The sequence below is a fragment of the Homo sapiens genome, chromosome X (assembly GCF_000001405.40).
Source record: "Homo sapiens chromosome X, GRCh38.p14 Primary Assembly".
Classification (NCBI taxonomy): Eukaryota; Metazoa; Chordata; class Mammalia; order Primates; family Hominidae; genus Homo; species Homo sapiens.
This window is the reverse complement of record NC_000023.11, coordinates 13735701-13755283: the sequence shown is the minus strand read 5'-3', so window position 1 is coordinate 13755283 and position 19583 is coordinate 13735701. Positions and strand designations below refer to the sequence as shown.

General features: G+C 38.9%; 1 protein-coding gene across 21 annotated transcripts in view; it reads right to left on the bottom strand.

Annotated features, from left to right (window-relative positions):
* Positions 1 to 19583, bottom strand: part of OFD1 (OFD1 centriole and centriolar satellite protein) — a 59234-nt gene that overhangs the window by 18455 nt on the left and 21196 nt on the right. For 11 of the 21 annotated variants that reach the window (XM_047442584.1, XM_047442588.1, XM_047442583.1 and 8 more), the window contains exons 3-12: positions 18606 to 18806; positions 16370 to 16438; positions 16252 to 16282; positions 10765 to 10869; positions 8829 to 8965; positions 8331 to 8504; positions 5751 to 5857; positions 3916 to 4035; positions 1843 to 1916; positions 42 to 133 (exon numbers count right to left, since the gene is read on the bottom strand). In XM_047442584.1, coding sequence (XP_047298540.1) covers positions 42 to 133; positions 1843 to 1916; positions 3916 to 4035; positions 5751 to 5857; positions 8331 to 8504; positions 8829 to 8965; positions 10765 to 10869; positions 16252 to 16282; positions 16370 to 16438; positions 18606 to 18806 — 1110 coding nt within the window. The other 10 variants (XM_047442586.1, XM_047442589.1, NM_001330209.2 and 7 more) reach the window with 5 other exon arrangements.

The window sequence follows — 19583 nt, the reverse complement described above, 5'->3', positions numbered from 1 at the left end:
GCTTAAAATCTATTTCAAAAACCAACATGCTTAACAATTACCTCAAGTTCTTTCACACGATTTACAGATTGATTGAGTTCCTCCTTTTTTGAATTAATAGCTATGAGCTCCTCTTGCAAATGAACAGCTTTTTCTGAAAAAAGAGCCCACCAATTAAACACCATAATGTTTTCCTAGTGAATACAAAAGCCATTTAATATTTATGGCCAGTATGTCAGACCTAATGACCACTATTTCACAATCCAAATAGCAGATGTAGCGGGCAAGTAAGAAATAAACCCTGTTACCCAACAGGTGATGTGAAGCTGTAACTGTCATATATGTGGTGAAATTCCACTTGCTATACATGCTAACCAGAGTTATACCATGTGCTCAAAGCACAGGGCCCTAATACCCACAGCTCTTAACTTCCTTGAAGACAAAGATCTGTCTGTTACTATATTGTAGTTACTATTTTGTAGTTTTCACTTCATCTAACACAAGTCTATGTAGATATATCATCAAACCATAATTTGTTACATACGTAATGGTATTAATGCATAAAAGAAGTATTAGTCTCCACAAGATAGTAAAAGGGGCTGGGCACAGTGGCTCACGCCTGTAATCCCAGCACTTTGGGAGGCCAAGTCAGGCGGACCACCTGAGGTCACGAGTTCGAGACCAGCCTGGCCAACATGGTGAAACTCTCTCTCTACAAAAATTAGCCAGGCATGGTGGCGCACACCTGTAGTCCCAGCTACTTGGGAGGCTGAGGCACAAGAATCACTTGAACCCAGGAGGCAGAGGTTGCAGTGAGCTGAGATTGTGCCACTGTACTCCAGCCTGGGCAACAGAGCAAGACTCCGTCTCTTAAAAAAAAAAAAAAAAAAAGACAGTAGCCACACATTGGGTATCTGGTCAACATCAACTATCTAACCCTGGTTTCCTCCCAGGAATCTACTTGAAATTTCCACCAAAACTTCAACTTCTTGTTACAGCAATTTCCTAGAAATACATTGAAATGGGTCGGGCGTGGTGGCTCACGCCTGTAATCCCAGCACTTTGGGAGGCCGAGGCGGGCGGATCACGAGGTCAGGAGATCGAGATCATCCTGGCTAACACGCTGAGACCCCGCCTCTACTAAAAATACAAAAAATTAGCCGGGCGTGTTGGTGGGTGCCTGTAGTCCCAGCTACTGGGGAGGCTGAGGTGGAAGAATGGCGTGAACCTGGGAGGTGGAGCTTGTAGTGAGCCGAGATCGCACCACTGCACTCCAGCCTAGGTGACAGAGCGAGACTCCGTCTCAAAAAAAAAAAAAAATACACTGAAATGTAAAACATCTGAAGATTGAAAAATTATTCAACTTCCATAGTCTCAGGCCAATGTACACAAGAGTTCAGAAGGTTATACATCAAGTAAAAATATTATAAAGCATAAAAATATATTAGAAGCAAAAGAAATAAGAAACTAGGTCACAGAGGACAGAGAAGTTAAAAGTTTTCCGTAAGTGAAAAATAAAGTCTCTCATGGTTAGGAGTAATACGTACTTGACAGCAATAAGTTGCTGCTACGTTCCTGACAATTGCAGATTTATCAAAATATATGAAATAAAGTTGGATAAAATATCCATGATAAATCACTGGCCTTTGTGAATATACAAACTATTAAACATGAAGGTTCCTCAAAAGGCAGTGAAGACCATGATTTTTAATTTATAAAATTAAAATTACAAAAAATGTGTAATTTTGTATGAACAATGAAGTGTAAGCTGTATTTTTTAGAATATAGAAAAGACCCAACTTGGGAAGCTAATAACCTACAGCAGAACTGAAAAATACAGCTTATTTTCCCCCCAAACATCACCTTTATTCTTCCTTTCATCTTCAATCAGTCGATTAGTTCTAATGATGTAGTCATCCTTCAGTTCAAGTTGATACCTGAGAATCAGAATGACTAAATATGAGCTCCTCAGGCATTTTTCTGGAAAGACTGTTATCAGTGCAGGAGCTTATCTATGGCACAGGAGCACCTGAGGGTGCTAAACATGACAACTTGTAAACTTCAAAGTCCTCAATACTAAAGCCAGGGATATAACCCCTGAACATAAAATGCCCAGTAAAACCCTTCCTTGATCCTATAAACTGGGTCCCAAAACTCAATCACACAAAATGAAGCGTCGTGTTATCATAAGGTTACTTACTGAAAGCAATCACTTTTCAGTTGGTCTCAACTGACACAAAGAGCAAAGGGGTAAATTAAATTTACACAGCACACAACAGACTCAATCCCAAATGATAATCAGACGGTCACTTCCAATCCACCTGTACCATCTGCCCACCCCCAACCAAGGTAAGAACTTTTGTGCTCAGGGACTAAGCACAGTCCTGAGAGCCAACTGCCAAGAGCATTATATCCGGATTAGCAATACCAAAAGGCACATTTTCACAGTTTCACTTCCCTTTCCCAGCTGTTACCAGCTGCCCTTTTGGTTCCAAAAGGAAATAGAAGCACTCCTGTGGCGAAGAGCCTCCAAACTCCAACACCTGCCAAAGTCATATGAGGATTCCCAAAGCCAGGCAGACACCATGCAGCCTGTGGAAGCTGTCACAATGACACCAAATAGTTCACTAGCTCCATAACTATGTAAAATTAACACACATACTTTAATTCATTTATTCCTAAAAATTCAGCAACTACAGACACTTCCATTTTAGCTATTTTAGTATAGAAACTGACATAGAAGATGTGGGTAAAATACATCATTTCAAAATCAATAGATAAAAAAGCTGCCATATTTTTTAAAAATAGGATTTGTTTAAAGGATTACCTCAAGAAACCTTTGCAATATTATGTAATGGAATATCGATGACAAATTATGAGAAAGGCAATAAAAGAGGCCAAATAAGAAATGCCCAGAGCACCTGAGTTGAATCATTTCCTCGTGACACATTTACAACAAATATTAACTGAGCACTTTTTATGTGCCAGATGCTTTCCCACACACTGAAGAGAAATGTTACCACATGGGCATAATGTCGTAGCACTGAGATATTATTCACTGATACACAAAACTCAGACTACAGAAAAGCCAAAGTTACCATAGTTGTCCATATTTTCCTTTCCCTATATCACTTTTTGCCTCACATAGTTAATTTTAGCTCTTTTGATTCTGGCTTTGCTGAATCTTGAAGGAATACAAGGCACATGTTCACTGACAAATACTATGACCACTAGTATAATTTATATATTGTCAGATAACCCCATCCTTCTGACTGTATGAGTGAGGTAGAGGAAAAGATAACTAAAAGTGGTTATAATTCCAATTTTACAGCTTATCAACTATGCAAGCTAAGCAAGTCACAAGGTGTCCTGAAAATTAAAGCAAATCACAGCCCACAATAAACGTTAGAGAAGCCATAAGAAGCGCAGAGGATGTGCTTCTCTGTATTTTTTTATTGTTGTTAATTTTTGAGATGGATTGTCACTGTCACGCAGGCTAGTAGAGTGCAGTAGCACAACTTCAGTTCACTGCAACGTCTGCCTCCCGGGTTCAAGTGATTCTCCTGCCTCAGCCTCCCCAGTAGCTGGGATTACAAGTGCCCACCACCACACCCAGCTAATTTTTGTATTTTTAGTAGAGATGGGGTTTCACCATGTTGGCTAGGCTGGTCTTGCACTCCTGACCTCAGGTGATCCGCCCACCTCAGCCTCCCAGAGTGCTGGGATTATAGGCATGAGCCACCACACCCGGCCCTTATCTTTTAAAAACTATCCTAACTCAAATGCAGGAAAGGATTGACTGTATCGATAAAACTATGTTTTTTTTTTTTCAAACACTAAAGTTTGCCTAAGTTACAGACTACTTTGTCAGTTTTTGTTATGTTTCTACCAATTTAATTTAAACATATTAGTTATTTAAAAATGCTAAACAATTACTTTAGAAGTTCATTCTTGAGCTTTCGGTCATAGGTCTCCTCAAAACTCTTTATATTCTGCTCCTGTCTCCTAAGTGCCTCAGTTATGCTTTTATGTTTTTCTTCCTGGAGCTTCTGGTTCCTGAAATTAACAAAAATATAAAAAGTAAATAAACTACCATAGCTGAGCTAACAAATTTAGGAAAAAATCACATGTGTCTAGTTCCACAGACTAAAACTGCTACATGATATCACTACTGGGAAGTAGAAGGAAAGAGCCAGAAGTCCTCAGTGTATTTTATGAACTGACCTAGTTACAGCATATTGAAACTAGCAGAATTGACTGTGCTTTGGGCTGAGGGGAGTGGGAGAGTCTCAAGAGGGAAGTGGTTTCTCACTGAAAATAAACACTCAAACAATGGTTATAGGTGATAAATAGCCAAAATCAATCCTGGGATGAAATAATGATATTATTAGTTACAAAGTAACAAATAAGTGTACTTATGTGCTTAAATCTTCTATAATGCTGTTTCTAACTGTGGGATTTAATTAATTAGTCCATACATATTCAAGGTACAATATGTGTTTTTGTCATTTAATAACCAATCAGCTTTAGCCAAGTGTGGTGGCCCGCACCTATAATCCCAGCTTTTCAGAAGGCTGAGGCAGGAGGATTGCTTGAGCCCAAGTGTTTGAGACCAGCCTGGGCAATACAGAGAGACACTGTGTCTTAAAAACAAAACAAAACAAACAAAAAACCCTATTGATTGAATATTGAAAAAAGTACCAAAAGAGAGGGCAAAAGATAGATGGATCAATCAGGGCTTCCAAATACTGAAGAATAGAATGGTCTTCATAGTGAGACTTTAAATCAACCATAGCACCAACTCCTTAGCCAGGGAGGTAGGTTCATGGGTGGTGAGATCCAGCCATCCTGAGAAGTGCTACAAAATGCTGACTAGTCTAAGAACAGGTAAAGGCTCTAGGTATTAGCTCCCTCTGCTGGTAATCTGGAAAGCCATGGAGAGGTAAACTACATTTATTTAGTTTATATGCTGAGAAGGAGGGAACAAGAGTAGAGAAAATGGAGGTAAAGGAATGATGAACTCTCTCTGCCCCAATTTTGTGCCTATTTCCTCTCTCTTGATCAATTTACCTTTTCATTATTGCCAAAAAGAGAGTAAGGTAGACAGAGAGTTGAAATCAAACAAATCAAGCCTATAGAAGTGAGAAAAAAACATTAATGGAGCCAAATTCTTTAATGAACTAAGATTCCTGGAGTATCTATGGGTGTCAATAGCAGATTCCCAAAGGAAGAGAAGGCTTATTGCACAAACTATAGACAGGTGAACTTGCCATCAATCCCAGGTAAGATCTCAAGGATGAAACATTTGTGAGCACTTAGAAACAGTGAGTAACAAAGAAATGGTTTCACCAAGTACAAGTCAAGTTGGACCACCATACTTCCTTTTCTGAGCACACAGCTGGTAAAAGCTGCAGGCCTGGATATATGGAATTCAGTTACTATACATACACACACGGAACTATCAGATCTGAGGGACTGAATGTAACTGCAAAACATACGATCTGTTCCAGTATTAACAGCTTCTCCAAATAATCTGTCTGGTCTTACTGTAGCCTGATGATAGCATCTCATTCGTCTTTTCATCTTAATGTTTAATATTTCAAAAACAAAACCCTAGTGTTTGTTCCTCTTAATTTGTACCTTCTAGGTGATATCCCCTTTACAAATAAGAACTCTACTTGGCAATGAACATTAGAATATTTAGATATATATTTAGTAATTCTTTTTAATCTCATCATTCTGAATATCCAAAATGAACATGCATTACTTACAATTCAAAAGCTTCAACTCTTTGCTTCAGCTCTGCTTCTCTTCCTCTTAGCAAATCCATATCTTTTAGTAAAAGTTGCCTTTGAGCATAAATTTCTTTTGTTTCAATCTGTATAGAAAAGCATTAATTTTTAGCAAGCAAGCTAATGAAAGCAAAACAGATTTGAATGAATATACTGCTTCCTACATTCCAAAAAGCAAAGTACAGACATTTAGGATAACAATTTCACCTTCAAGAGATTCCGACTCAAGGTATACTTTTTGCGTATTCTAGTTGCATAAAAATTTACTCCCCCAATGACTGTTAAACTACCATTACCCTACAGTCCTAACATGCCATGTGAAATTTATGCTATTTAGTTCTTTAACATCTCTCAGTCCCTTATCTAAAAAAATTTTTTTTTTTTTTTTTTTGAGACAGGGTCTCACTCTGTCACACAGGCTGGAGTGCAGTGGGGTGATCTTGGCTCACTGCAACCTCCACCTCCCAAGCTCAAGGGGTCCTCCCACCCCAGCCTACCGAGTAGCTGCAGGCACTACAGGCACACGCCACCAAGTCCGGCTGATTTTTTGTATTTTTGTAGAGATGGGGTTTTGCCATGCTGCCCAGGCTGGTGTCGAACTTCTGGACTCAAGCGATATGCCTGCCTTGGCTTCCCAAGGTGCTGGGACTACAAGCATGAGCCACCACACCTGGCGCCCTTACCTAAATTTTGGCAAGTTCCCCAGAAAGAAAAATTAAGCAAAATGTACATTCAGCAGTAAAACTCCAAAAGAATTGAATCCCCATGGTTTTTAGTGGTGGTGTCGTCTGAATGTTTCAGTTCACGGGTCATTCTGACTCAGAGTTAGCAAGCTCATATGAACTCCTAAAAGAATGGGCCATCCTTCCATTTGTGTGTTCACAGAGAAAGAATTTACTAACTACCTATGACATGTCAAGCAGCATACTGGGAACTGGATATAAAAAGGTAGACAGATATAGTCCTCATCTCTAAAGACCTCACAATTTAGTCAGGGAGTGAGAAACAATCACACTAAGATGTGATGATTTTGTAACTGAAGTACATAAAGACTGATGCAGGAATGAGGCCTAAATGGGTCGCTCAGTGGGAGTCAGGGACGGCATCACCCAGGTGACATCCAAGCTGGGTCTTGAAAGACACTATGGTTTTTATCAGGGAGAGAAGGGGATGGACAGTCCAGGTGAGGGAATAAAGACATGGTGCTTCTTATGAGGATGACAATCTTCTTCAAAGCCTTCAGATGATCAGATAAATAAACAGGGATCTAGTCAGTCACCTATCTTGAAGGTTGAAGTTATTAGTCTAAACACAATCCAATCATCTCAAAGATATGTGCTTCTGACATTCATTTTTATAGCTGAAGCAAACCCAATTCCCAGAAATGCTATACAAAATTTTAGAGGGGGTGCCCTTAGCATTAAACAACTAGGTCTTATTGAGAAGCCCCAGGCGAGAGTGGACACTAGGGGGAAGCATTCCTACTTTCAACATCTGACAGCAGTAGTTCTGGATGTATGTTGGAAATAGTGCTGTAAATCTAGTTTGGTCTAAGACACGCCCTTGGGAAAGGAATATGATTTAAAGGAGTAGATCCAATCCTGCTTGCCAACATGGACTCCCTCTCACTCCTCACCCTCTCTGTCTCCTGTCCAGTTACTTTCTGGGGTGACAAGATCAAATGGTCACATGGATGACCCTTGTGGTGACTCCTTTACCCCAGGGACCTTCACCCTTGCTCATTTCCATGGCTCTCTCCAATGGCAGCATACTGCATTTGGTTTCTAGTCTCCACCTGAAACCTCATCCTGCAATTCTGTAATCTTGGACCATCCTCATTCTTCCACCTACCAGTCTATCCAGATCGAGTCCTTGATCACTGAGACTGCCACTCAACCCTTCCTTTCCCCCTAGGTTAGCAGCCACCTGCCCTCTCCTCTGCTTCCCTTCACTACCCAAGAGAGCCCCAGAATCTTCGATTAAGTAGGCTGCCTTTCTCTAGTCAAATAAGGCTCTGAAAAGCTCTACTTCCCAAGCATCTCCATCTTTCCACCCTCACTGAAAGGGACAGAGAGATACTTACAAATCCTCCCCAGAACTAGAACAGAAAACTCACTTACAAGCACCTGGTTTGACCTCTCTCAATTCCAGGCTCCCCCAACCACAGCTGAGCCCTCAATACAGGTGATCAGTCCTCTCTGCTTTAAAGGGCTGTTCTTCCCTTACCCACAGGAACTACTCTGCACCTCCAATCTGCTCCTAAAACCCAAGATCTAACCCTCTAATCTGCCTGAGGAGATGGAGCTTATTTAGGGTGTGTTTCTCATAATCCCAACTTGATTGTTCACCTCCACAGTTCTCGCCTTTCCATCAGTCTCAGAGGAAGCAAATTTGTGTATCCTTTTCAAGGACCATCCTTCTATTTGCACTCTTGGCCCCAGTCCCTATTGCTCTTCTGGGGCCTTGTTCCATCAACTGTACCATCCTGTTGCTGGATCTCGAGCCAACCTACTAATAGCTGCAGGAAATAGCCACCCATAAAATATTTGTAAATACCACCTCTTGGTGCTTGTGAATTCTTTCAAGGGTACTCTTTTCCCGAAGAACGAGAGCTTCAGATTTTGCTTGACAAGCTTTTTCAAAATCATTCTGGAACATGGTTAACTCCTTTTCATACTTTTTTTTTGCTTCCATTTTAATTTTTGCTATCTCGGTATCTTTAAAAAACTTCAACTGCAAATTGATCACAAAAAATTAAAAATACCAACTATTATACTATAAAAACAGGAACAAGTTCTCTCTCTACATCTAGGTTTAACATTAATGCTCTGTCCAAATATATTTATTTCATGTTAGTTTTATCTCATTCACTCTATTTGTAGGATTCACTCAAAAGGCATAAACAAATGTCACCAGAAATAAAAAAAAATTTGCACAACAGTACAGTATCCCATTCGTTATTAAAAGTTCTAGATATTTTCCCATATACCTATGGTTAAGACTTTAGAAGACAAACAAAAACATCACTCTTGTTTACAGTAACAAGATAAAGCTTACCTTTTGACACATTTCTGCCCGAAGTTGCTCTTCTATTTCTCTCTTATACTCATTTAGCTTTATTTCTAAAGATTCGAACTTGATACGCTGAGGGTAAGCATCTGCAAACTGATCATCAATAAGCTGAAGCTTCTCAGCTATTAAAAAATAACACATCAAATTAGGACATAGAAACATCGTCAGGTGCGTAAGACGCCAGACCTCTGGTTCAAAAGTAAAGAGGATACTTAGGGGAAAGTGTAGGGATTATCTGCAACTTACTTTGAAATACAAAAAAAGGAAGGTGGATGAATGGATGGACAGATAAAAATGATGAAGCAAGTATAACACAAGTGTAATAGTGACATCTAGGTGGTGGGTATACAAGTGTTCGCTAAAATTGTTTCAACTTTTCTGTATGTTTGAAAATGTTCATCATGAAATGTTAGAGGAAAAAGAAAGCCAAGAGTACAGTTTAAGTCAGAAAATACTGGAGTCTCTTCCTACTCTCTAAGTGCTAAGGCAGAGAGCTCTTTATTGGACTCTGGTTAAAGCTGACTTACATATTCAAAACAATAACTTTAAAAGAATCAAAGATCACGTATATCAACCCCTCCCCTTTACACATAAAGAACAAATGCTGATATAGCTTAATAAGTGACTACATGACAGCATAACCAGGATTAAAGTGAGGTCTACTGACTCTTCCCTTAGTCCATGGCCCTCAAACCAACTATGGATCAGAATCAACCACATAGCAAAGTGCAAATCTGAACCCAGAGTACAATCTCAACCGTGTATAACGCCCACCCAAAAAGTATGCACAGAGGGGAAAAAGGCTGGCAGAAGTAGATTAAAACATCGATAGTGTTTATCTCTGGTAGGGATGACTTTAGACATGTTTTTCCATCTACTTTTCTGTATTTTCCAGATGCTGTCCAACACAGGACTCTCCAGCCACATGGGGCCATTGACACTTCAAATGTGACCAGACTCAACTGAGATGTGCTTTAAATGTAAAAAACACATGAGATTTCAAAGACAGTGCAAAAAATAAATGTGAAATATCTTAGTATTTTTTATATTGAATATATGCTGAAATAATATTTTGCATGTATTGGGTTAAATATATTATTAAAACAAATTTCACCCGTTTCTTTTTACTTTTTTCAACGTGGCTACTAGAAAATTTAAAATTATGTATGTGGCTCACACCACTGAACAGCACTGCTTGATAATTAGCAAGTAATATGTTTCTAATTGAATTAAAAATACACTTAAAGGCATAGTCATATAATACATTTTATGAATTATGAACTTATCTTCTTGCAAGTTACCATTTAAGAGTAAGGAAGGGCCAAGAAATCCATTAAGCATATCGTTTTAAACAGCTATTTCCCATCTCTACTGAGCACGAAACTGACAGACAGGATGGTACTGCAGACCAGCTGGATAGTACAAAAAGCTCCAGATCATGGATGGGAGAACTTGGACTCCACTATTAGTTCTGATGCAGACTGAGTGTTTCCAAGTTGCTCTTCCTCTGAGGACCTCGGTTTCCTCAACTATAAAATGAAGTGATAAGTCACTGACTTCTCTAGTACTTTGCAAAGCAAGTAGTTTATAATCTTCTAACTGGGTGGCTGTAAAGTTAGACAAGACACGAGGAAGAACCTCCCAGTTAAGAGAAGTCAAACTCAACAAACAAGGAAGAATATGGGCCTTTGAATCCCTGCATGATTTGGCCAGTGTAGCCCTGGCATTCATGAGGCTAGGGAATGACACTGGAGAGCACTTCCTGGTCCCCCAAGATGATTCCAGAAATGAATTCCCTTGTTGCCTGCCGGCTGCATCCCTCCAGTTCAAGGAGCAATCACACAATATGGTAAATCAGATAATTTCCTTCATTCAAAATGAAAACAGCAGAACTGAAATTAAGAAAGAAGGCTATAATTACCCAGAGAATCTCTGTTAAATGTCGAACTTGTCTGAGTTTCCATATTACAACTCTCTTTAGCTTGATGATATTCTGCCAATTCTTTTAAAAAATGCATAAGAAAACCTAAAAAACATATGCATACAGTTTTGTTTCAGAACTTTCAACCACTGCTCAGTCACTGTTTTTACAATCTTAGTTTTAGGACATTATCATTTTTTACATTATATATCTTTCCTTTTTTTTAGAGACAAAAGTCTTGCTCTGTCACCCAGGCTGGAGTGCAGTGGTGTAATCATGGCTCACTGCGGCCTCGACCTCCTGGGCTCAAGCAATCCTCCTACATCAGTCTCCCAAGTAGCTGGGACTAGAGGTGCACACCACCACCCACCACGCCCAGCTAATTTTACTTTTTGTATAAACAGGGTCTTGCTATGTTGCCCAGGCTAGTCTCAAACTCATGGCCTCAAGCAATCCTCCTGCCTGGGCCTCCCAAAGTGCTGGGATCACAAGCATGAGCCACTGTGCCCAGTCATATCTTTTAATAAATCTGAGAAAAGGCCTTCCCAAGCATGATACAGAACCTGGAAGGAATAAGGAGAAATATTTATCAATCTAACTACATAAAAACTGAAAACTTACATATGGCATAAAATAAAAAAATAACACACTGGGAAAAATAGTTGCAATAATATGGAGGCATAACCAAGACTAAAGTGATGACATTTTCATAACATCAAAGAACTCTTACAAATCAGTTTAAAAAAAAAAAATCAGAAAAATGGGGAAAAACATGGGTAGTTTGCAGAAAAAACTACATTGTCAAAGATGAACACAATTTTTAGATGCTGAATAAACATGAACAAAATCATAAATGCAAATTAATACAACAGAGAAACCATTATTTTCCCTATAACACTGCTAAGATTAAAACTTGTATAATGCTAAGTGTTGGCAAGGGAGTGGATATATAGCTATACTCATTCACTTGGAAGAGAAATTTGTCAGTGCTTATATATATTCGAAATGCATGTGCCCTTTAATCTAGTCATTCCACTTCTATGAATTTACACAGGTATACTTTCACAAGGGCACAAAGGGTGCACACTGCACATAGGTTACCTGTAATGGCAAAAAGCAAACAATAAAACAACCAGATCTCCATCAATAGGGGGTTAAATACATTATTTAAAAATAATTAGTCTATACTGCTACAGAAAGATACATTGGTGGATTAAAAAAAGCAAATTGCATACAGTATCTACGATATAATCCCAATTGATTGTGTTTTAATTACAAATACATAGTTTTAACCTCAAACAATTCTAGAAGATAAACAAGAAACTGTTAATTCTAGTTATCAGTGGAGTGAAACTGTTAATTCTAGTTATCAGTGGAGCGTGAGATTAGAGAACATGGGCAGAAACTGCTACTTTGCTTTCACTTTATATCCTTCTGAATAGTTTGAAACTGTTTTAAACCACAAGCATAAATTACTTAAGAAATGTTTAGTTTCTTGGAACTAAAAACAGTAGTTAGCTCAGCACCTTTTCCCCCACCCCCACTCCCTTCAGGAAGGGGATTAGATTTTGTCACAGTCTGCATACCATCCTGGGATCACCTGACCTAAATTTGCAAACATTAAGGTTCACTCTTGATGACGTAAAGCTCTATGGGTTTCGACACTGGGTCTTTCATTCTCTTAACAGCGTCTTTTGGCAGGGTACAGTGGCTCACGCTTGTCATCCCAGCACTCTGGGAGGCTGAGGCAGGCGATCACCTGAGGTCAGGGGATCGAGACCAGCCTGATCAACATGGTGAACCCCATCTCTATTGAAAACACAAAAAAATTAGCCAGGCGTGGTGGCAGGCGCCTGTAGTTCCAGCTACTCAGGAGGCTGAGACAGGAGAATCACTTGAACCCAGGAGGCAGAGGCTGCAGTGAGCCGAGGTCACGCCACTGCACTCCAGCCTGGGTGGCAGAGTGAAACTCCGTCTCAAAAACAAAACAAAAAGAACAGTGTCTTTCACAGAGATGTTTTTAATTTTAATAAAGTCTAACTGATCTACTTTTTTCTTTCATGTATCTTGCTCTTGGTGTTACATCTCATCACGAAACCCAAGATCACAGACTTTCTACTGTTCTCATCTGGAAGTTTTATAGTTTTGCATTTTACATTTAGGTCTATGGTTCATTTTGAGTTAGTTTTTGTGTAAGGTATAATAAATAAGATCTGTGTCTAGGTTCATTTTTGCGCATATGAATATCCAACTGTTACAGCACCACTTGTTGAAAAGACTATCTTTCCTCTATTGAATTGCCTTTGCACCTTTGTTAAAAAAAAAATCAATTGACTATATTTGTGTGGATGTATTTCTGGACTTCCTAATTCTGTCCCCATTGATGTATATGTCTTATTCTTTTGCCAATTGCAGATAAGAATTTTTACTTCCAAAAAGCAAAGGGCCGATGTCCAAATTTTCTTCCCTCATCCAAATTTTGTGCACATCATTTTCTGGATATTGTCAGGCCTCTGAGCCGAAGCTCAGCCATTGTAACCCCCGTAACCTGCATATATACGTCCAGATGGCCTGCAGGAGCCAGCTAAAAAACCACAGAAGTGAAACAGCTCCTGCCTTAACTGACTGACCAACCTTACGACATTCCACCATTATGACTTGTTCTGCCCTGCCCCAACTGATCAATCGACCTTGTGACATTCTTCTTCTGGACAATGAGTCCCAAGATCTCTCCACCATGCACCTTGGGACCCCCTCCCCTGCTAACAATAAATAACCACCTTTAACTGTAACTTTCCACTGCCTACTCAAGCCCTATAAAGCTGCCCCTCTCCTATCTCCCTTCACTGACTCTCTTTTCGGACTCAACCCACTTGCACCCAAGTGAATAAACAGCCTTGTTCCTCACACAAAGCCTGTTTGGTGGTCTCTTCACACAGACACGCATAACAGATATCATTATCTCTGAAAGGAAAATTAGCAGTGGGAAGAATGGGTGACTAGAATCTAGGAGGAAAAGTACCAAGGCCATTCAACAGCTTAGCACCCCCTGAGCATAGATATGGTAGGATAAGACCATAGGTCTGAGTCAGGGGACAGACAACGGTTAAGTACACAATATCTTCCTACATGTTTTCTGTTACTTAATTAGAAGACACCAATTTTTAAAAAAATTTTATCTTACCAGGAGCTATTTTGTTAGCTAAGAGTTCTATCCAAATTTTGGCACTAGGATGCCTGACCTATCTGCTACTCATAGTTTTTCTGGCTTCCAGAAATTTTACTGGGATGCTAGGTGAAGCTGGTAAGGGCTGTCGGCCAGATGTCTTTCTGAACCAGATGCATTTAAAGAGACTGTGTAAAAACTATTTTTTTTTTTTTGAGACGGAGTCTTGCTCTGTCGCTAGGCTGGAGCGCAGTGGCGTGATCTTGGCTCACTGTAACCTCTGCCTCCTGGGTTCAAGCGATTCCCCTGCCTCAGCCTCCCAAATAGCTGGGACTACAGGTGCACGCCACCAGGCCTGGCTAACTTTTTTTTGTATTTTAGTAGAGACGGGGTTTCACCATGTTGGCCAGGATGGTCTTGCTCTCCCGACCTCGTGATCCGCCCGCCTCAGCCTCCCAAAGTGCTGGGATTACAGGCGTGAGCCACTGCGCCCGGCCATGGAAAAACTACTTTTAAGGATAATGTATCTATAGTAACTACATAGATTTTTTTTTTTTTTTTGAGATGGAGTCCAGCTCTGTCACCCAGGCTGGAGTGCAGTGGCGCTATCTTGGCTCACCGCAACCTTCGCCTCTCTGGTTCAAGCGATTCTCCTGCCTCAGCCTCCCAAGTAGCTGGGATTACAGGCACTCACCACCACGCCTGGCTAATTTTTGTATTTTTAGTAGAGATGGGGTTTCACCATGTTGGCCAGGCTGGTCTTGAACCCCTGACCTCAAGTGATCAGCCAGGTTTGCCCTCCCAAAGTGCTGGGATTACAAGCATGAGCCACCGTGCCTGGCCCATAGATTATTTCTTAATATCCCTTCAAGCCACAAATTTCCTTTTGAAGTAATAGTTAAGCAAAAGATACTAGCTATATACCTCAGAATTATGCTAATATGGTAGTCACTATGCAAGTGTAGCTAATTAAATGTAAATTAAAAATTCAGTTATCCAGTCACACTAGCCACATTTCAAGGCTCAAAAGCCACATGAGGATAGCAGCTACCACATTAAACAGCATAGACACAGACATTTCCATAATCACAGAGAGTCACACTGGACGACACTTAGAGTACAGAATATAGGATCATTTACCATACTGAACTTCAGTAGAGATGGTCTAGTTTGCGGGCAGTCCAGAATATCTTGTGCTCCAATTTATTTATATTCTGCTAACATTACTACCAAGAGACTTGGCGATTAAGTCACAGACTTAATGGCTGGCAGAAAATAAGTATTCAAATGATTAAGTTCTAAATGAATTGGCGAATGAATGGATGAATAAATGAATGTCCTTGTGGGGATGATAGTGCAGGCAACAGACAAAATCCAAGGGTGTACCAACACAAAAGGACTATTACTAACAGATTATTTTAAAAGACCTAAAGAATAACTATGCATCAAAGCCAAGTTGCCAGCTTATGTTCATGCTACAAAGCCCATCATCAAGTCTAACCAATGGCCTGAAACCCACAGTAGTTATGGACTCTATGAATGGCTATTATCAAGGCCAAAATTAAGGCAATTTATTAGGTCTATATAAACATTTTTTTTTTTTTTGAGACGGAGTTTTGCTCTTGTTGCCCAGGCAGGAGTGCAATGGCGTGATCTCAGCTCACCGCAACCTCTGCCTTCCGGGTTCAAGCGATTCTCCTGCCTCAGCCTCCTGAGTAGCTGTGATTACAAGCATGCGCCACTACGCCTAGCTAATTTTTTTGTATTTTTAGTAGAAACGGGGTTTCTCCAGGTTGGTCAGGCTGATCTCGAACTCCCGACCTCAGGTGATCCACCCGCCTCAGCCTCCCAAAGTGCTGGGATTACAGGCATGAGCCACCACGCCCGGCCTGTATAAACATTTAAGAACAAAAGATATATAACACATTACTGAACACAACTCTCATTCTTTAAGGAAATATTAATACATCTAATACCCTACCAATTATACTTGAGAGGGATACCTAGTATACAAAGACACTTGGCCTAAAAGTTATTAGTTTTTTTTTTTTTTTTTTGCAGAAATATTCCCAACAGTGGGTATTTTTACAAACAGTATCTTTCAGCCTGTCTGTAGGGCCTTTGATACTGTCTACAGTTTTTTTAATTGAATATCTAAAAGTTATTACAAAAATGGAAATATAGGGGAAATGACCTGCAGAAATCAAATAATTTAAATCAAATTAAATTTTACTCTTCTCCCTAAAAATTTGCTTCATTCTTTTAGAGGAAAAAGTACATAGAAAACTGTTGCTGTTCTCTACAAAGATGACGGCTCCTACCTTTTTGATTTTCTTTATCAGATCCTGAAACCTGTTAAAAGAAAATATTTCACTTTTATTCAGCTATTCAGTTATAATTAACAAACCAAAGTAGATTACAGAAACTAAGCCATCTTACCAGTGATTTGTAGAGACTGGAAGTAGGGTTGATTTTAATGAGTTGTAATAGATCCTGCATAGTAAATACCTTAAGAAAAAATAGGTTACTAAGTAGACATATTTTTATATCAGTGTTTAAATGATAAATTAGGATATGTTTCTGAATATGAAATTAAGAAACATCCTTCAGATTAAATAAGATTATAACTATGCTAATAAAGCAAATTTCAAGCTCTTTCTTACACTGTTAAATAAATTACTATAAACATATCAAGGTCAAAAGGATAAAATATCTTTATCATCTAATTAACTTCTAAGTACTTCACATCAAAGATGATATGCCTAAATGTTTAATGCCTTACAGATGACACTGAAATATCTGATGAACCAATGACTACATGACTGAGTTCCTGGGTCATTCAATTACAATTTTTTAAAAAGTATTCATTGTTTAAAAATGTAAATAGATTTTTACTGTCCTTAAAACCGTAATTAAAGTGTACTTAAAATATTGTTTAACAGACATTTTGGGTAGCTATTAAAATATATTTCTACTACAGTATATACCATTCACTATGTCTGCTCTGAGAACACTGATATTTGTTTTCAATTGGTTTTCCTTTAAAGTAAATATTCTGCATGGGCATTTTACATTAGTAGAAACCGTTAAGTTGTATGAATAGGATTAATTCCTGCTATATAATTGTATTATTGACTATTACACAATAAGTAAAAGTATAAAGTGATTAGAAAGTTAGAGAATGATGTATCAAAAATGAATTCCAGGCCAGACACGAGGGCTCATGCTTGTTATCCCAGCTCTTTGGGAGATTGAGGTGGGCAGATCACCTGGGGTCAGGATTCGAGACCAGCCTGGCCAACATGGTGAAACCTCCTCTCTACTAAAAATAAAAAAGTTAGCCAGGTGTAGTGGTGGGCACCTGTAATCCCAGCTACTTGGGAGGCTGAGGCAGGAGAATTGCTTGAACACAGGAGGCAGAGGTTGCAGTGAGCCAAGACTGCGCCATTGCACTCCAGACTGGGTAACAGAGCAAGACTCTGTCTCAAAAACATAAATTAATAAATAAATTCCTAATGCTGACAAATAAAATTTGGTTGCTTATGAAGAAATGCAAATTATTTAAGTTTTCATTCAAATACTGTACTAAGCTTGTGTCACTAAAACTTTGGAATATGAAACTTTTGGATAATTACAGAAAACACAAAGAAAGTAAAAACATATGAACACCACCAAGAGTGAAATTTATTTTATTTTTGAGACAGTCTCGCTCTGTCACCCAGGCTGGAGTGCAGTGGCATGATCTCGGCTCACTGCAACCTTCACTGTAAACTATGGCCTCTGGGTGATAATGACATGTCAGGGTAGGCTTATAGATTGTAGCAAATGTACCACCTTGATGCAAGATGTTGACAGTGGGGGAGGCTATGAGTGTGTAGGGGCAGCAGGTATATGGGAATTCTCTGTACTTCCCACTTAACTTTGCTGTGAACCCAAAACTGCTCTGAAAAAATAAAGTCTATTAAAAAAAAAAAAACACGCACATATCCACAGGGAAAGTCTGCTGTATCTGCCTTTAAAATAATAAAGTAGTACTAATGTTCAACAGTAATGGTGAAGAAATATAGTTAAAATAATTAGAAAAGTAGTAAAAAAAAAAAACAAGTGTTTTTAATATTTGAGAACTTTACAGATTTTTTAAATTACGTATTTCTCACTTATCTAATTACAAAGAGAAACATCTGAAGAAACTAGTGCAGGAAAAAAAGAGCTCATGTTAGAGATCTAGATTTACCACCCTGCATTGTCACTTAAAAGTTACTTGATGTTGGGCAAATTGATTCACCTCTCCAGAGTCTGGTTCCTCATCCGTAACACACAAAACATCTGCAGTGTGCCTATCACAGTGCCAAGCTTACAGCAGACATTCAGCAGATTGGCAGAGTCTTATTAGACAAGATAGAGGATAGATAGATCAATTATAGGTCTGAAACATTTAGAGATTCTATACATCACTGTTTTATGTGAGACTAAATGAGACGCCAAGAAATTAATTTCAAATTTAGTACCCACTTGTTATATAACAAATATATTATGTGCAGGTACAATGTGAATTCAAAGAGGAAACAGAAATGGACCTAGTCGAGGAGCACTTAGCTATCATACAGCACTTTACTGTCAGCAGAGGAAGAACCTGTTAATAAAAACTTCAGAAACAGAAAAGGAAAGACTTTACCTTTTCTTTTGCCAAACCACTTTCTGGAAAGAAAACAGAAAGTGAATATTCATAGCCACATCTTTGTAAGTGATCTGCCACTAAAGAGTTAGAGGCGCCTATTAAGAGGGAGCTCCCTTCTACTGAAATGGACCGAGGCTGCAGTTCTCCACTCAATACAGGGTGCATCAACTCATGAATTAGCTGGTTTCGAAGTTGTGTCTAGCATAAAATAAAAACAAAAATAAAAAAGAAACACAAGGGAAAGAAATTTCAGCAGGACTGTTTCATTAGAGATATACACAGATGAGCTACATTCATTGGAAACCTTCCTTCTATTTCCATAATGGTTCTAGATCCATGGCCAGAAGTTAGAAACCTTCCCCTGCACACTTTGTCTTACCCCGTGAGACAAGCAGTCCAGTGGGTTCTAGAAAAAGCTTTCTTTCCCCAGCTTCCAAATGAAACGGGTGGTTAGCCAGATCCACTTGCAGACTCATAACTTCACTTCCCTAGAAGCCCATTTCAGCAGCTTACGATTGGGATATTAAGTATAGGAAAAAATTCTGCCACTTCATCACACCTCTGTGGACTGTTGGAGAATATAACCAAAATATTCAACAACAGGGGACTGCTATATACATTACAAAAATATCCAAAGATAAGCCTGTTGCCACTGAAAATGAAGATTTCAAAAAACTTTTAAGGAAACAGGGAAATGCTCACCATATAATTTAAATTAAAAAAGGATACATACACAGGATATAGCTACATATTTTAAACGTAAAATATGCTTTTGAAATGCATATTTCAATGAAAACACGTTGAGCTAATCCTACTCCTGGCTGTTAATCCAAATATAAAGCATACTAATAGGTATTTTCTGCCCAAACTAAACATTCATACATTTCAATATAGTTTAAAGATAAAATTTTTCATTTCCCAAACTATTATTAAGCAGTACACTAGTATTTTCTATATGGTGTCAATGTCCTTCAT